The 19,138-nt window shown below is 41.6% G+C and overlaps 1 protein-coding gene across 1 annotated transcript in view; it reads left to right on the top strand.

The window, feature by feature from the left end:
* The window catches only part of CNTNAP3B (contactin associated protein family member 3B), a 238,891-nt gene that overhangs the window by 160,058 nt on the left and 59,695 nt on the right, over positions 1 to 19,138 (top strand). Inside the window, exons 11-13 of the mRNA NM_001201380.3 lie at positions 4,725 to 4,831; positions 8,477 to 8,596; positions 15,983 to 16,186. Of these exons, the coding sequence (NP_001188309.2) occupies positions 4,725 to 4,831; positions 8,477 to 8,596; positions 15,983 to 16,186 (431 nt within the window). The remainder of the gene's footprint in view (positions 1 to 4,724; positions 4,832 to 8,476; positions 8,597 to 15,982; positions 16,187 to 19,138) is intronic.

Below are 19,138 nucleotides of genomic sequence, written 5' to 3'. Positions count from 1 at the left end.
GTTTGAATCATAAAGACGGATGAAGATGTGTGCAGAAGGACATACTCAATGAAATATGGAGGTTAGACAAGAAAAACATTTAATTCAAATAAGTATTACAACCACAGTTATGCTAGTTGTGCCATAATTTTACAAAGATTTTGGCTGAGAAGAATCATAGGGTCACACCTGGAAAAATAATATTTCTACATACAATTTGCCCCAGTACATTTGGTATTTACTTTCAGTGAATAAATAAATGCTACAGATTTAAAAATTGAAAAGTGATAATCTGGCCCAGCGTGGTGGCTCACGCCTGTAATCCCAGCACTTTGGGAGGCCAAGGCGGGCGGATCACGAGGTCAGGAGATCGAGACCATCCTGGCTAACATGGTGAAACCCCGTCTCTACTAAAAATGCAAAAAATTAGCCAGGCATGGTGGCGGGCGCCTGTAGTTCCAGCTACTCGGCAGGCTGAGGCAGGAGAATGGCGTGAACCCGGGAGGCGGAGCTTGCAGTGAATGAGATAGTGCCACTGCACTCCAGACTGGGCAACAGAGCCAGACTCTTCTCAAAAAAAAAAAAAAAGTTATATCTGCATCTGGTAGAACTTTCAAAACCTGCCTTCTTCATGGAGTAAATTCAGTTAGTCAATTCTGTTTTAAACATTAACTGTAAAATTATCTTCTCTGGCTAAACAGGTTTTAATTTATAACTCACAGTTAGTGACATACTAAAAAAACGCAATTACTACTAAATGAAAAGTTCATTCATATGGACTTTATTTATTCAGCATGGAATAATTTCCCCCTGTGAACATTCTGTTGATTTGTAGGAAAAATGAATTAATTCAAAGATGAGGAGTATATGAAGTGTAAGAATTTGTCAAGTACCTCTCATTCTTGACCTTGAGATTTGAATTCTTGGCACACAGCTGGGACTGCATTTACATCTCAACACCAGCTCCAGAACCACACTCTGTAGTCGTGGGAAGGGTAGTTGGGAAGGTTTCTGGCCATTTGCTCACTTAATATAATCCCAAGTTGCTCAGCTAACTAGCCAGGGAGCTCATCTCTCTCTGAGTTAAGGGGTAATGTCCCATGGGCCCACACTGTGAGTGACAACAGCTGTCAGCTCAACTGTGATGCAAGTGTGATTTTCTTCACTTGTATGACATTATTTTGATACCTTGTTAATTACTCACAAAATATGATCCATTTGCAGTGTTTCTGTTATGAGATATATATTGTGAGGCTGCCTCTTTTCAGAGATGATCCATTTTGCCTGCTTTGTGCATGTAGCTCCCAAAGTACAAAACTATTGTTTTTACTGTTATAGGCTGTTTTGTTTTAACCTTAAAGTCCCAAGAGTTACATTGGTGCCTAACTTGGTCTCTAAGATCCCACATTTTAAAAAGGCCTCCAAATTGTACCCCAAAGTTACTTGTAAACATGCTCAACTAAGCATGAATGTGTGAGCCACACTTAAACTTCAGCCATGATGTGTACAATAATCATTGCAGATAAGGATTTTAAGAAAGCACTTTTAAATTATTTTCAAATAGGGCTACAAATAAAGGCTATTTACTATTTCATTCCCAAAGTCAGTAACGTAGAAGACTAGCTCCTCTGAGATTATTTTGAAAACCTGAATTTTATAAAGCAATAAAATTAGAAAACTTTGGGGACACAAAATGACATCCTACAGAGTTAAAATTAAAGACCTTTGCTGTTCCCTTTACATAAAGTTTTGAAAACCTGAAAATACTGAAAATTCACTTTTAAGTATCCTGAAAACAGGCCTGTAAGCATCTATCAGCCTTTCTTTGTTGTTGTTAACAAACAAACAAACAAAAATCTAATTGTATTAGTCTGTTCTCATGCTGCTAATAAAGATATACCCAAGACTGGGTAATTATAAAGAAAAAAGGCTTAATGGATTCACAGTTCCACATGGCTGGGGAGACCTCACAATGATAGCAGAAGGTGAAGGAGAAACAAGACACGTCTTATATGGCAGCACGCAAGAGAACCTGTGCAGGGAAACTCCCCTTTATAAAACCATCAGATCTCGTGAGACTTATTCACTATCATGAGAACAGCATGAGAAAGATCTGCCTGCATGATTCAGTTACCTCCCACAGGTTCCCTCCCATGACACAGTGGGAATTATGAGAACTACAATTCAAGATGAGATTTGGGTGGGGACACAGCCAAACCATATCACTAACTCACAAAGTAGAAACATATGTTACTCAAATACCACACCTAAAAATCCTACTTAGGGACAGATAAGGGGTATGAAGTTATCTTTTTTAGTCAAAATTTTAAGCTACGCAAAAAATAGCAATGGGCACTTTGGATGACAGAGTCACAAATAATGGATGTTTATGTTTGGATAGGTGTTTGTTTGTTTGTTTTTTTGAGACAGAGTCTCGCTCTATCGCCCAGGCTGGAGTGCAGTGGCACGATCTCGGCTCACTGCAAGCTCCGCCTCCTGGGTTCATGCCATTCTCATGCCTCGGCCTCCCGAGTAGCTGGAACTACAGGCGCCCGCCACCACACCTGGCTAATTTTTTGTATTTTTAGTAAAGACGGGGTTTCACCGTGTTAGCCAGGATGGTCTCGATCTCCTGACCTCGTGATCCACCCGCGTCAGCCTCCCAAAGTTCTGGGATTACAGGCGTGAGCCACCACACCCAGCCAGGATAGGTTTTAACTTCTTAATCACCTCTTACATCAGACTCCTATACTGTTTTAAGGTTTGCCCTGTATACCACATGGCAGAGCTTCCAGTGGAGTCCTGTGCTGCGTTCCAACTGGGGCTCCCTGAGCAGGGAGGCCTCTGTCACCTCCTCACCTGGCTGTGCTGACCAGGCTGCTGACCCCACTCCTGCCCTCCCTCTGCCATCTTCCCCTCTGTTGGTCTTCTGCATGCTAGCTACTTCCTCTATTATTTGTACTACATGTAAATTTTTCACAATTGATGTTGTGTTTAGTTGAAGAAAAATAGTGTATACATGTTGATAGTCTCTAGATCACTTAAATAGTTCTTATTTCCAAATATTTTGAACTAAAATTATTCTCTCCCTGTTGATATCAAACAGCAGTGGTTTTTAATGTTTTTTAAAATTTGTGGAATCTTCAAGTCAGGTATGATCTTAAGATGCTCCATTATATTAAGAAGGAAGGGGAGGAGGGGGAGAAGGATGTGGGGGAAGAGGAACAGCTGCTCTTTTAAAAATGGTATGAGGGTGGGCCCCCACCCCAGCCAACCTTGCCTGTCGCTCCAGCTCCCCCTCTTCTGATCAGTTCACACAGGCTTTTCCATGCCTTGGCCTTTGAAATACTTGAAAAGTTGTGATTCTCATGGCCCCTAACTCTTCTCTGAATGCAGACTAAATGCTCATTAACACCATGTAATTATGGAAGTCTTGGCCCTGAGCTGGTGGTGCAGTGCTGGAGAGCCAGGATAGGGGGCTGGGGGCATGGGGAGGGTAGGGAATGCTGCGGATTCTTCCCAGCCCCTCAGGTTCCCCTCAAAGGATCTCTCCCGAGGCCAAATACAGGCCCCTGGGGCTTTCTGTCAACTTCATACCCCAGTTCTCTGCTGGTCGTCCTTCCACCACAGCCAGGAGGCCTGTCACAACCTCCCAGCCCCTCTTCTGTTACTTCTCTGGGTCCCATGGTGAGGGGCACTTGGGTGCTCCCCGCCTCTGCCGCTCCAGCATGGACTATGATGTCCCTCACGGCCTGGAAGGTCAGTGTCCTTTAGAATCTTCACTCTTTACCAGGTCCTTAGCTGTGTACTCAGCAGTGGGAGACAGCGGCCAGAGGCTGAGATCCAACCCTGCTCAAGGCAGAGGTGGGTCATGGTATTCAGGCCAGGCCTCCAGAAGGTCACACTACCTCTTGGTGACACTCTGTGTCAGGTGCTGGTCAGTTTCCATAGTGTACCCTGCTCCCTGTTCCCCTAACAATCCTGAGAGGCAGGCATGCTAGGCCCCCAATATTATAGTGGGCGGCAGCAGATTCCAAGAATTCTGAAAGTGTGAGACCTCCAACTGTTCTTTTTCAACATTGGCTGGTTCAGGGTCCCTTGAGGTTCCCTGTGAATTTTAGGATGGATTATTGTTTTCTGCAAAAAAAGGCATTGAGATTTTAATAAGAATTGTATTGAATTTGTGGATTGCTTTGGGTCATATTGACATATTACCAGTGTTAAGATTGCTTAAAAAGCAATAACCGACTGCTTATTGCAAATCTAAAAGGCGACAAGATGACCTAAATTAAATGTTCTTCAAAATTTCTGAACCTCTGTCACTATGTGACTGAAGCTGTTCCTGTTTCTTTCTTCTCCCCTCTGTATCTTCCTCCCTGTTTCCCCTTCTTTCTTTTAAAAATGACCACAATATAGTAACTGAGCATGCCATATTTCATAGTTTTATGTGTGTAATTGGTTTTGCTAGCCACATGTCAAGTTATTGTGTCACTTGGGACAAAGAAAAAAAGAAATGTGTTGAAAATTCAGCTGTCACAGAAACCTAATAATCAGCTGCATGCTAATGGATATATTTATCTAAAGTTTGTCAATATAATTAGAGAACCTTGATGGCAGACCCAGTAATCACGTCATGTGGGGTTATCTTGCGTATGCTGGCCTTTCACATTAACCTGTTTTTGGTAAGACACTTATTTTTTGATGATTGAAAAAGGGAAACAGCAGTTGTATCTGTTTTCTTTTAGGTGCTTGCCCAGCTACTGTGAGCATGGGGGCGAGTGTTCCCAGTCGTGGGACACCTTCTCCTGTGACTGTCTAGGCACAGGCTATACGGGCGAGACCTGCCATTCCTGTAAGCCTCACACCTCCCTCTCGTTTCTGTCAGCATCTCTTTGTCATTTCATTTTGATTAGTTGTTTATATGTATCTGCATATTTGCAATCATGCAAACACATCAGAAGAGATATTTCAGCACTCAATTTCTAGTTTACTTTTAATCCACCTTATTTAATACAAGGGTGTTGAGACAGTGCACAGAAATACGTGGTACGCATAGGATTGAAAAAAAGAAACTGGCAAGCAATGGGGAAATAAGTCTAGGAGAATCAGATATAGTAAAAGGTAGAAACTAAATTAAATTAAAAATGCATGATGTTAACAGCTTGTTCCATTACTTGAGTTGGACCATAATTTTAATTCTGAGAATCTTCTCAGTCAAAGAAAGGTGGAAAAACAACCCCTTGCCAGGCTGTCAATGTTACATTTAAGGTATTTAAAGATTTTTTAACAATCACTGGGATGATGCAATCATGGGATTGTACATGGCAAGATTTTTGAAGAGGTAATGGGATATCAGCTAGAAACTAGAGGACCTTTAAGATCTCTTACAATGACTGTGATTTTCTTTGGTGGTGGTGATGATGATTGTAAAGTGAATAATTGTAAAAGTATTAATGTATTGAGTACTTATGTCAGCCCTCTGCTATTGCTTTGCATATATTAACTCATTTAACCCTAAAGCAGCTGGAAGAAAGTACTCTTATTATCTTCATTGCAGAGTTGAGGACAGAAAGAGGTTAAGTAACTTGGCCCCCAGCTAGTTTGTGGGAAGATGAGGAGTTGAGCTAAGGAGGTTGGCTCCACAGCCTTGGCTCCAGGATGCCTGATTGGTGGTCCATGCACCAGCAGCACCCACAGCCCCTGGGAACCTGTTGCAAGTAAAGACTCTCAGGCCTTACCCAAACCTACTAAATCAGAATCGCTGGAGATGGGGCCCCGAGTCTCTTGTAACCAACCTTCCTCATGCTTCTGGTAGACATTTAAGTGTAAGAACAATGTCTAAGGGATGGCATATTCTAACACTTCTCAACTGCCTCTGCCATATTAAAAATCATCTGTCTTTACTGAAGAATCACCCTCTGTGAATTTCAAAGGCCATGCCGTTTTATTGAACTCTAACCTGTTATAATTAGAACATCACAGAATCTGAAAAGCCTTTTTTTTCCTATTTGTTTTTAACTTTTAGAGTTTTCTTTCTGTATATCTCTACTGACGTTTCTGAGCAACTTCTCCTCAGGAATATTTCGCCCATCCCTGGGTCTTCAAGGAAACAGAGATGCAAAGTCCTCAGTTCCACTTGCTCATCCTGAGTTCCTAATTGAAACTTTTAAGAACTCTTCCATGAGACATTTGATTTTCACAAAAGCCACAGGAGAAAGGCAGGCTGTGGAGTGTTAAAACCACACTTCATACATGCAATGAGAATTCTGCGCTCCCAGTCCTGAGGTTCTGTAAAGGATCTGGGCAAAAGAGGAGACAGTCCAGGAGTGACTCTCACAGATTGAAGCATGAAGTATGATTTTTGTACTAGAAGGGTCCCTGTTTATAAAGCTGTGACACATTTTCTTTTTTTTGTTTGTTTGTTTTTTGTTTTTTGAGACGGAGTCTTGCTCTGTCGCCCAGGCTGGAGCCCAGTGTCATGATCTCAGCTCACTGCAAGTTCCGCCTCCTGGGTTCACGCCATTCTCCTGCCTCAGCCTCCCGAGTACCTGGGACTACAGGCGCCCGCCACCACGCCTGGCTAATTTTTTGTATTTTTAGTAGAGACGGGGTTTTGCCATGTTAGCCGGGATGGTCTCGATCTCCTGACCTTGTGATCCACCTGCCTTGGACTCCCGAAGCGCTGGGATTACAGGCATGAGCCACCATGCCCAGCCGCTGTGACACATTTTCTAGGAGTTGAGTGGCCTCTCACACCAGAGGCTGAATGTCTTGATAAGGTCATAGAGTTGGTGCAGGGACCACATCTTTTACTTCTGTGTATCTTTCATCCTCCAGGCATAGTATCTTACCTAAAAGCAGAAGCCTATTCTTGTGTGTTACCTGGAAAATTTATATCTGCCACCACACTCAGCATTGTCTGATTGCATTTAATGTTGCAATTAATCAATGAGTTATATTAGTCCATGGTTATTCACTGCAATCAAAATATAACTCCAAAAACTTCTGAGGGAAAATATCAGGAGATTGAAAAAGTATTTCAAGTGTCAGTCTCATCTAATAATTGACGGCTATAGGTAGAAATTTGCCAAGCCCACAGTCATTCACTGTGAGACTAGACTGCCACACCTAGTTGAATAGGTTATTTTGTATTTCTAATTGTATAACATGTATCAATTATGTGCAACTAATTAATTGTATATAATTATTAATTGTATATAACTCATTGTATATAATTAATTATACAATTAAAATCAATTGTATTCAATTAATATATACTATACATTAATACATGTATACATTATCATTTAAAAAGCCAAACAGTTCACATAAAGCACAAGTTCTAGTCACTTTCCTCAATATTTGTCTCCATTCCAAACCTAGTCTGTGCCCTATATTTAAGTATTGTTATTAATTTGAGTGAATCCTACCAGACATATACAAATATATGTATCTATTTAAATCAATATGCCATAAGTGGCACAAAAATAAAGATTAGCAATGTCCATCTCCTGCAGATATTAATTCCATACCTTGTACTTGGTAAAACATTTACTTGCACAAATGAAAATATTCAATTATGCTAGAGTAAATTTACATTATATAGGGATATCTTTCAAAAAAGTTTCTCTCCTGTTTTGAATTTCAGCTGTCTTGAATTGTCACTTGCAAAATACTTAGGGACGTTTCTTTTTTAAATCAGCTTTAATTATTTTTTAATGACGAGAAGTTGATAGCTTATAAATTCCATTTATCTCTTTAAAATGCTCATTCATATTGTTTTAAAGGAAGCAAAGGGTATAACTGCCGCATAGCTTAAGAAAAACTTTACAGAATGCTTATGGGAAAATACCAGATTATTTAGGCCTTTTAATGTGCTTAGGTATTCAGTTATTACAGGGAGAATGAGGGTTTCTTCCTTAATTATAGAGTTTAATTCTGAGGTATATTTGCCATGAGTTTGAAAAGAACCATGCTTCAATAGCACGCAGAATTCAGATTCACAAAGTTTTCCTCTCGTATCTCTTCAAGTGTTTTACACTGTGCTTCAGAGTTTGCATGCTTTCTTGCCTAAAAGCAAAAGAAAACATTTATGTAGAGAAAGTACAGTCTCTAGACATTGCCAAAAGATTGTCTATTGAAGATAGTATCGCATTCCCACTGTAAGCACATCTTCATGTTTGAACACCAACACAATCTTTCCTTCTTCCTCAAAATAGAAATACACTGTGACCGAATATTTATTCAGCATCTAACAACATCCAACATTTGAATGTATTTTGACTAGGTAATTTTTTTCTCCTTTGTTAATAAAAATAGATTTAATTTTTTAAATGTCATTTTTCTTGCATCTCATCAAATATACTTTCATACACTATAAAAATGATGTTGGGTCATATGTATCACATGTCTGTAATTCAGAAATGCAAACCTTTGGACACTGACTCAACATCTGGAGATATTTTTTCTGGTTCTTATGGCTGGTGTTCTCCTACAGCTCTCTACGAGCAGTCTTGTGAAGCCCACAAGCACCGAGGGAACCCATCCGGGCTTTACTATATTGATGCAGATGGAAGTGGCCCCCTGGGACCATTTCTTGTGTACTGCAATATGACAGGTATGTTGATAATCGTTAGATGCATAGATCAGAATAGACCAAGGAGAAATTTACCTAGTTGGCAGCATTATTAAAACATGCAGTTTGATAGTGTGTACTTGCTAAGTAGAAGCATTAAATATGTATTTATTAATTTTGTTGTCAACAAAATTTTCTTGTATTTCTTCTTTGCCTGGGTTGGATTATAGGCAAGATTCAATGCTCTGCCAAGGCATCTCTCTAGCTCCTACACTCCTCATAATACATCTGTTCATGTGCATCATGATAAAATACAAACCTCTGATTCGGTGATTTACATGCTTTCTGTATTTAGAAAAAACAGAGGTGTTTAAAAATGCTAAGAAATAACATAGATATGTTAATGTTCTATGTGCATCTTAAATAATTTAGTGATTTTTATGTCATATAATTTTTTCATAACCAAAGAAACTTGATTATTTCTCATGCTTTAGATATTAGAAATGAACACTGCTTGGGCTGCGCATGGTGGCTCACGCCTGTAATCTCAGCACTTTGGGAGGCCAAGGCGGGCAGATCACGAGATCGAGAGATCGAGACCATCCTGGCCAACGTGGTGAAACCCCATCTCTACTAAAAATACAAAAATTAGCTGGGCATGGTGGCGCCCACACCTGTAGTCCCAGCTACTTGGGAGGCTGAGGCAGGAGAATCCCTTGAACCAGGGAGGCAGAGGTTGCAGTGAGCCAAGATTGCACCATTGCACTCCAGCCTGGCGACAGAGCAAGACTGCATCTCAAAAAAAAAAAAAAAAAAAAGGAAAAAAAGAAATGAACACAGCTTGATTATAGAAGATTGCACTAGAACGCCTTTTAAATAGTTACATTTTTACAGAAATTTGTTGTCACCTAGCTCTTCCAACTCTCTGCAAAGTGGAAATCTGGAATAAACTGTTCTCATTTATTGTGCTGACAAAAGGTTTCAAAAGTTTCATAAATTTGGACAATAACCAAATGGGTCAGCAAGCATCAAGGATAAAGAAACAAATAACTGAAATTACATGGGCATTTAAAGTGCCTTAGCAAAGATTGTCAAAAAATAGTAAAACTTTACAGGGGATGTTCAGAAGATTCAGAGCCACCTGCACAGCAATGTGCTGAAGATAAAGAAACACAGGCGTTCTGCCATAAGATACCAATTACCTCCAAAATCCCGACTCAAACAATGAAAGCAAAGTGAGAAATCCCATAAAAATGGTCTTGGTGGATATCAAAAGACTCAACCAAAGTCACAACCAGGAAGGACCTTGGTTGTCATCATTTTAAGATGAGGAAATCAAGGCTCAGAAAAGTTGGTTAGGGAAGTATCTACTGACAAAATCTAGCTAATGGTAGGGGAATCACTAAACTCTGGTCTCTTTTCTGCCCTAGAAAATGTCACCTTCTCTTTAGATGCCGCATTGCTCTATAGCCAGTAATAAATTCTCTAGTTGTACAAATCAAGCAATAATGATTATAAAATGTGCAATTTCAAACTACTCTAATAGCTTGAAATGTATATATCGTAATAACCTTCAAAAAGCAGTTGCTTCAGAGCTTGGAAGTCAGCACTCTATCTTAAGAACAAGTAAAAAGCCAGGCAAACTGAAAAATTAACCAATTTTTTTAGATCCAGCAGAGAAGTGAGGTCACAGAACAAACCACTGCCCCTCAAAATTGGAGAGACAGGCAGGCTTATATACAGAATGACAGTTTTCTTCCACAAGCACTAACCTTTGGGGAAACCGTTGTCAAGGTAGGAAAACCTAAACTTAATTGACGAATTGTTGGATGTTTGATGTGGACACATCTGAGAATTAAAAACTCCAGGAAGACCCAGACAGAGAAGGATCCCCACACTTCTGTGAGTTTGACACCTAGCTTGACTGGGTTCTCACAGTGAATGTTGGAGAAAAATCTCCTCATGCTTCCAGAAAGGGAAGGTGAAAAGGAACCGTCTTGAAGTACACCAGAGCTTTCTGTTCTTCTTAACAAGGTCTTTCCTCAAGGGCAAATATTTCACCTAAGCTACTGGTGTTTTGTTTTCTTTTGTTTTGTTTTGTTTTGTTTTTTGTTTTCAGAGCCTAACCTGCCTGGAGGAAGGAAATTACCCACCTCTGGCCATCCTGTCCCATGTAAGGGTGGTGATGGGAGGGAGGGCTGAGAAGCTCTTGTGAAGGTCACAGCCCAGAGGCACAGGCTCCCTAAAGGACTCAGACCTAATCACAGGACTACAGAACCTTTCCCCTTCCCACACATGTTACTTATAGTACTGCAGGCCTCTTTACAGCAGTTACAGTTACTTTTACCTGGTACATCACATCTGGTTATCAAGAAAAAATTTCAGCTGGACCTATAATCCTATTACTTTGAGAAGCTGAGGAGGGAAGATAGCCTTAGACCAGTTTTGAGACCAGTCTGGGCAACACAGTGAGACCCCCACCTCTGCAACAACAACAACAAAAACAACAACAAAACAGCATTGTGACAACAACAACAACAACAAAACAGCATGGTGACATGTATCTGTAGTCCCAGCTACTTGGGAGGCTGAGGTGGGAGGATCGCTTGAGCCTGGGAGTTGGAGACTGCAGTGAGCCATGGTCACACCACTGCACTCTAGCCTGGGCAACAGAGAAAGACCTTGTCTCCAAAAAAAGAAAAAGAAAAAAGTTCAAGGCAAAAAACACACTTTGAAGAGACAGAGCAAGCATTAAAAACAGACGGTGGCTCACGCCTGTAATCCCAGCACTGTGGGAGGCTGAGGCAGGCGGATCACGAGGTCAGGAGATCGAGACCATCCTGGCTAACACTGTGAAACCCTGTCTCTACTAAAAATACAAACAAAATTAGCCGGGCGTAGTGGCGGGTGCCTGTAGTCCCAGCTACTCGGGAGGCTGAGAAGGAAGAATGGCATGAATCCAGGAGGCGGAGCTTGCAGTGAGCTGAGATCATGCCACTGAACTCCAGCCTGGGTGACAGAGCGAGATTTTGTCTCAAAAAAACCAAAAAACAAACAAAACAAACAAACAAAAACCAGAGTCAGATATGGCAGGGACATTGGAATTATCAGACCAGGACTTTAAACAACTATAATTAATATGGAAAAAGCTGTAATGGGTAAAGTAGATAGCATGCAAGACCAGATGAACAATGTAAGCAGCAAGATGGAAATTCTAAGAAGCAAAAAGGAGTGCTAGAGATCAAAAACAGCATAACAGAAATGAAGAATGCCTTTGATGGGCTTATTAGTAGACCAGGCACAGCTTTGGAAAGAATCCCTAAGCTTAGAGATACCTCAATAGAAACTTGCAAAACTGAAAAGCAAAGAGAAAAAAAGACTGAACCCCACCCCCTGCAAAAAGAAAACCCAGAACATAATATCTGAGTACAGTGGCACAACTACAAAAGGTGTAACATACGTGTAAAGAGAATTCTAGGAGAAGAAAGAAAGAAAGGAACAGAAGCATATTTGAAGAAATAATGACTGAGAATTCCCACAAATTAGTATCAGACACCAAACCACAAATCCAGGAAGTTTAGAGAACACCAAAGAAGGAGAAATGCCCCCAAAACTCTACCAGGCATATATTTTCAAACTATAGAATTCAAAGATAAAAGTAAACTCCTTTTTTTGAGATGGAGTTTTACTCTCGTTGCCCAGGCTGGAGTGCAATGGTACGATCTTGGCTCACCACAACTCCGCCTACTGGGTTCAGGTGATTCTCCTGCCTCAGCCTCCTGAGTAGCTGGGATTATGGGCATGTGACACCATGCCTGGCTAATTTTTGTATTTTTAGTACAGACAGGGTTTCTCCATGTTGGTCAGGCTGGTCTTCAACTCCCGAACTCAGGTGATCCACCCACCTCAGCCTCCCAAAGTGCTGGGATTACAGGCATAAGCCACCATGCCCAGGCCAGGTAAAAGTAAATTCTTAAAAATAATCAGAGGAAGAAAGCACCTTACCTACATAGGAGATAAGTATTACAGCATCTTCTCTTCAGAAATCATGCCAGCAAGAATGCAGTGAGATACTTAAAGTGTGAAAGAGAGAAAACAAAACAAAACAAAACCTTCTCCTTGAAAAGTGAAGAAATAAAGATTTTCTCAGACAAATGAAAGGGTCAGTTCTCTAAAAGAGATAACCTTAATATGTATGCTCCTGACAACAGAACACAGTGGATCTTATTTTCTTTTTTCTTCTGGGACATATAGGAATGGGTATACCAGATGCTGGGGATTTCATATGATATACTGAGTAAATTTTAAGTGCAGACAATCCCCGTTTACAGTAGTTCTACTTACAATATTGCGACTTCCCTATGTGAAACCATATGCATCCCTATTTCAAGTACCCATACAACTATTATTTTATTATTATTATTATTTTGAGACAGAGGCTTGCTCTGTCACCCAGGCTGGAGTACAGTGGCACGATCTCGGCTCACTGCAACCTCCACCTCCCGGGTTCAAATGATTCTTCTGCCTCGGCCTCCCCGGTAGCTGGGACTACAGGCATGTGCCACCACGCCCGGCTAATTTTTTGTATTTTTAGTAGAGATAGGGTTTTACTATGTTAGCCAGGATGGTCTCGATCTCCTGACCTCGTAATCCGCCTGCCTCGGCCTCCCAAAGTGCTGGGATTACAGGCGTGAGCCACCACGCCTGGCCACAACCAATATTATTATTTTTTTTTTTACTCTCAGTACAGTAGTTAATAAATGACATGAGATATTCAACACTTTATTATAAAATAGGCATTGTGTTAGATGATTTTGCCCAACTGTGGGCTGATTTAAGTGTTCTGAGCACATTTAAGTTAGGCTGGTTTGAGCTAGGTTCAGTAGGTCACATGTATTAAAATGCATTTTTAATTTATAATAAGTTCATCCAGATGCAACTTCATCATAAATTGAGGAACATCTGTACTGTTAATTCCAATCAAAATCATGAGTTAAATTAGCTTAATTTTCAAAGTTGGATATTTATTTGAGCAACAGGAGTGGAACAGGGATCAACGTGTTACAGTTACCCTCCTTCTGGGCTAGTGAGACAGCCTCCAGTGTGTTCTGACTCAGCCACACCTCTGAACCCCTTTCCACATTTAGCCACTGTTATAATTAATCTACTCAGGTCCAATTCACTTGAGCCCAGGAGGTCGAGGCTGCAGTAAACTATGAAGGTGCCACTGCACTCCAAGCTGGGCAACAGAGGGAGACCCTATCTCTAATAAAAAAGAAAAAGAAAAATATAAGGGTTATATTAGATGCTCTTTAAGATCCTTTCCAGTTCCAATATGCTTATAATCAATTGAAATAAATTATGAGCAATTAGGGAAACCACAATGGTCTGTGTCCTTCTTTGGGTCTTTTACTACTGATATTATAAGGAGAAGTGAGTCAAGTGGAATTTTATAAACACAAATGCATATCCTATAATGTCCCTGGTTACTATTCTACTCTTCAGAAAAACAAGTTTTACAGATGTATTCTCAACAGTTCCCTTCTCAGTACTGAGGGCATTTCTGTGATTACATCTTAACCATGGGTGACTGCAAATCTATCATACTGCCCACCAGCCTATGTGAACTACTCCGGACCATCATTTCTCTCCCATTGTACAAGAAATCATGAACACATGGCCAAAAATGGCATGTGGTTGAGCATCTTCAATGCCCAACTTAGTGTTCCATAGGTTTTTCTATATTTGATTCAGTTGATAGGAAAACTCTGAAGGTGAGAGTAGGTGATGTGCACAGAGTAACACCAGGTTGTAAAAATTCTAAAATGAGGCCAGGCGTGGTGGCTCACACCTGTAATCCCAGCACTTTGGGAGGCCAAGGCGGGTGGATCACCTGAGGTTGGGAGTTCAAGACCAGCCTGGCCAACATGGTGAAACCCCCGTCTCTACCAAAAAATACAAAAATTAGCCAGGTGTGGTGGTGTGTGCCTGTAGTCCCAGCTACTTGTGAGGCTGAGACAGGAGAACTGCTTGAACCCAGGAGGCAGAGGCTGCAGTGAGCTGAGATAGCGCCACTGCACTCCAGCCTGGGCAACAGAGCGAGACTCTTATCTCAAAAATAAATAAGTTAAATAAAAAATCTAAAATAAAAAAATAGAGCAATATTAAAGGAAGAACCCATGGAATTGAAATTACCATAGGCACACTTAGAGCCTCCTTTGGTGAGTACAGTGAGTGGAGTGATAATTTAATTTAAAATTGCATTCGTTATTTAAATTTGCAGATTTTTTTCTGTACTTGTGGCTCATTTGTGGGTATCACACCTTTGCTCTCCATGGGTTCTGTGACTAAAGAGATATTTCAGTAGCATGGCTGGTTTTCTTTTCCTTCTTTCCTCTGATCTCTGTTGTTAGGCGTGTGTAAGTAACAGTAAGGCTGTGAAATTTGTCTTACGCACAAGCCATTTAGCCATTTAGCAGCCAAGCCATTAAAAATCCTGAGATGTGAAGGGCTGGGAGGGTGATTTCTCAAGGTAAAATGTATCACATTGTTTTGTTTCGTAGTTCTTAAAAAATCCCCATACAAATGTTTCTTCGTTTCTCCAGTTCGGAAAATTTTTATGTAAAATGTCCATTATTCTAAATACATCTTATTAGAGGTTAAAGGACCAGACAGCACCAGCATAGTAGAATTAAAGTGACTTCAAGTCTGGTGGGAGGTCCATTGTTGGGAACACTAAAGAACTCAAGATGCACTTCTTCCCTTTTGAGATTGTGGAGTCATTTTGTTTTTATTTCATCAAAACAATATAAGTAATCAAGTGACAGAGATACATCAGAAATGATGTCAGCAGGCAGTCAGATGCTCAGGGTCACCGCCTGGAAAGTGCTGTTAGAAGCTCAAGGCCTCTGATTCCTCTGGGCTTGGTCACTGATGGAGAAGCTGACATAATTAAACCACTTTATTTTAATAGAGCTGCTTCCTATCATACCTGTGAGTATGTGCGTCACATCGTCCCAATATGTATCTTTTATAAATTTATTCGATAATGAAAGAAATAGAGGCACATACAGATGAGGAAAATGCAGATGAGTTTAAAAAGATAAAGGTCCAGGTAGTAACAGTTTGGCCCCATGCTTGTGTTGATATAAAAAAATGGTTTTAACAACTAAAAAGTCATTGCTTACATGATACATTTTTAGGCGTGACGTCGCAAAAGTTTGGTCATCAGTTCTTCCAATATGCTTTCTCTTAGAGGCTGAGTTCTGGCTCAGTACATTGTTACACAGGTCCAACTCCTCAAATCGCGGCAAACATGCAGTAATGTAAATTTCAATTAAACGTTAATTCACATAAAAGGTCTGCTTTGCCTCTTGCTGCTGGCGTCTGCCGCCCAGTGATGCCTCTCCTTTGCCCGTTTCTGCTCAGCAGACTCCGCGTGGACGGTGGTGCGGCACGGTGGCCCCGACGCGGTGACCCTCCGAGGTGCCCCCAGCGGGCACCCGCTCTCGGCTGTGTCCTTCGCGTACGCAGCGGGCGCGGGGCAGCTGCGGGCCGCGGTGAACCTGGCGGAGCGCTGCGAGCAGCGGCTGGCTCTGCGCTGCGGGACAGCGCGGCGCCCGGACTCACGAGGTAAGCGCCACTGCTGGAGGCTACAGGGGCTCACGAGGCCGGGGCGCGGCCCTCGGGCTGCGAGATGCCTTTGAGGGAGAAAAGGCCAGGGTCCCTCCCGTGGCTCTTAGTTCAAAGCCCTGACCGCTCTCTCCTTCTCTTCCCGCTCTTGGTTGGACCAAAGAGCATTCAAGAGCGCCTTCCTGACCGTTGAGAGACGTTCAGCGCGTTCATATGCAGGACTAGTGACTTGTCCTTTCTTAATCAAGGGAAATTTTGCTAATAACTTATGCCTTAGCTTTCCGTTCACACTGAGGAGATAATGGCTGTAGGGCAGGCTGGGTCTAACAGTTCTTCATGAAGACCAGTGGGAACCGGTAACCTCCTTACTCTTCTCAAAGTCTTCCTCTAAATCTACTTGGAACCTTTGTTTCCTCCCTTTAGATTAACTGAATATGCCCTTCCTCAGCCCCGCCACTTTCACTGTGGTCTAGGATGAAATAATGACTAGGGTTATTAAAACCTTTTGTCAGTGGGTGTCTCATTTTTTTGAAATTATATCTTGAGAAATGTATACCTTAATCTTCATATATGGAAGTAATGTTTTGGAAACTCTGCCTGCATCAAAACCGTCTTCTCCTAAGTTAAAGACCAACTTCCCCCTCCTTTCCGGAATCCCCACAGTCCCCTGCAGGACTCACCGCTGCTCTCCAACAGTTTCCATATAGTTTCTTGAAAGCACTTTATTGCTAATTATAGTTAAATACTGAAATTTACCTTTCATTTTTTTAGTTTTAGCAATCCCAAATAGTATATAGGCGGGAGGATCACTGGAGCCCAGGAAGTCCAGGCTGCAGTGAGCTGTGATTGCTTCACTGCCTCCAGCTTGGGCAGCAGAGCAACACCTTGTCTTAAAAAAACAAAAACAGTGTATGTCGGTAGCATAATAAAGCCACTTAAATTAAATTTCACTCTTAAATTTTCAATACAAAATCTTTAAGTTGGAAAGTGGTGTATGACTGTCATCTGAAGGTGGTTTGCGCTGATCCACTAACCCATACCTGCATTGCCTTCCCTAGTCCGTCTGGCCAATCAGCCCCTGGAATATGCCAGACCATTTCCTCTGCCTGGATTGACCTCTCTGTCACCCAGGCTGGAGTGCAGTGGCACGATCTTTGCTCACTGCAACCCGCTCCCCTCCCGGATTCAAGCGATTCTCCTGCCTCAGCCTCCTGAATAGCTGAGAATACAGGCGGGTGCCGCCACGCCCGGCTAATTTTTGTATTTTTAGTAGAGACGGGGTTTCACCGTGTTGGTCAGGCTGTTCTTGAACTCCTGACCTCAGGTGATCCGCCCGCCTCAGCCTCCCAAAGTGTTGGGATTACAGGCGTGAGCCACCGCGCCCGGCCCTCACACTCTTAAATCTTACCCACTGTGCTAGACCTGTGCAGTCGGCATCTGGGTCCCTTCCCAGGGTGATCCCTCTCTCCCCTGGATGCCTGCCAGCCAATTTGGTCTAGTAGAAAGAGCAAAGGTCTGGTTGCATTCAAAGTTTGAAGTTCAAGTGCTAAGTCTGTCACTTAGCAGTTGTGGAAATTTAGGCCATTCCTTAATCTTTCTCAGACTTTGTTTCCTCTTTGATGAAATGGACCCTGTAGTACTGATCTCATGGGGTTTCTTTTATAAATGAGATATCTTACATAAGTTCAGTAAGTAAGAAACTCTCCTTCCCAGTTCTCCAGTTTTTTAAAGTTGGCATTACAAAACTTAATTATTTGTTAGTTCATTGCTGTTGAATGAAGTGTAGCCTTGGCTTTGGAATCGTTTAAAAAAAAAATCCCCAGGTGATCTTTTGGAAACTACTGGGCTAGGGGCTAAAATAACACAAGAAATGGAATATTCTACTCCCATCAGTGAGAATTTCCCTATTTCTCCTCTTTTGAAAAGATAATTTAAAAAAAATTTTGAGATAATTGTAGATTTACATACACTTGTGAGAAGTAACAGAGAGAACCCGAATAGCCGTTAAGCAGTTCCCCCACCCCAAGGTGACATCTTGTAGAAGTATAGTGCAATATCACAGCCGGAATCTTGACATCCATACAGTCAAGATACACAGTATTTCCATCAGCACAAGAATTCCTCCTATTGGCTGGGCACGGTGGCTCATGCCTGTAATCCCAACACTTCGGGAGGCCGAGGCGGGCGGATCACGAGGTCAGGAAATCAGACCATCCTGGCTAACACGATGAAACCCCGTCTCTACTAAAAATACAAAAAAGTAGCCAGGTGTGGTGGCGGGTGCCTGTAGTCTACTTGGGAGGCTGACGCAGGAGAATGGCGTGAACCCGGGAGGTGGAGCTTGCAGTGAGCCGAGATGGCGCCACTGCACTCCAGCCTGGGCGACAGAGCAAGACTCCGTTCCGTCTCAAAAAAAAAAAAAAAAAAAAAAAAAAGAATTCCTCCTATTGCTCTATTGCTCGTTAATAACCACTAGTATGTTCTCCATTTCTATGGGTTTTTTTAAACTTCAAGAATGTTATGTAAATGAAATTATATAGTATGTACTCTTTGTGGTTGAGTTTTTTTCACTCTGTGTAATCCTCTCTAGATTCATTTGCATAATTGTGTATATCAGTAATTTGTTCCTTTTCATTGCTGATTAGCAATCGGTGGCATGGATATGCCAGAGTTTATTCACTCATTGAAGGGCATCTGGGTTGTTTGTTTACAGTTTGGGGCAATTATGAATAAAGCTTTTATGAACATTGTGTACAGGTTTTGTGTGAACATTAGTTTTCATTTCTCTGGAATTAATGCCCCAAAGGGCAATAGGTGGGTCATATATGGTAATTGCATACTTAGTTTTATAAAAAGCTGCCAAATTGTTTTCTAGAATGGTTGTACCATTCCCACCAACAGTGTATGATTTCATTTCCTCCACATGCTCATCCGCATTTGGTGTTGTGACTA

The sequence above is a fragment of the Homo sapiens genome, chromosome 9, assembly GCF_000001405.40.
Source record: "Homo sapiens chromosome 9, GRCh38.p14 Primary Assembly".
In the NCBI taxonomy this organism is placed as follows: Eukaryota; Metazoa; Chordata; class Mammalia; order Primates; family Hominidae; genus Homo; species Homo sapiens.
Note: the sequence above shows the minus strand (reverse complement) of the source record. Positions and strands in the feature narration are given on the sequence as shown.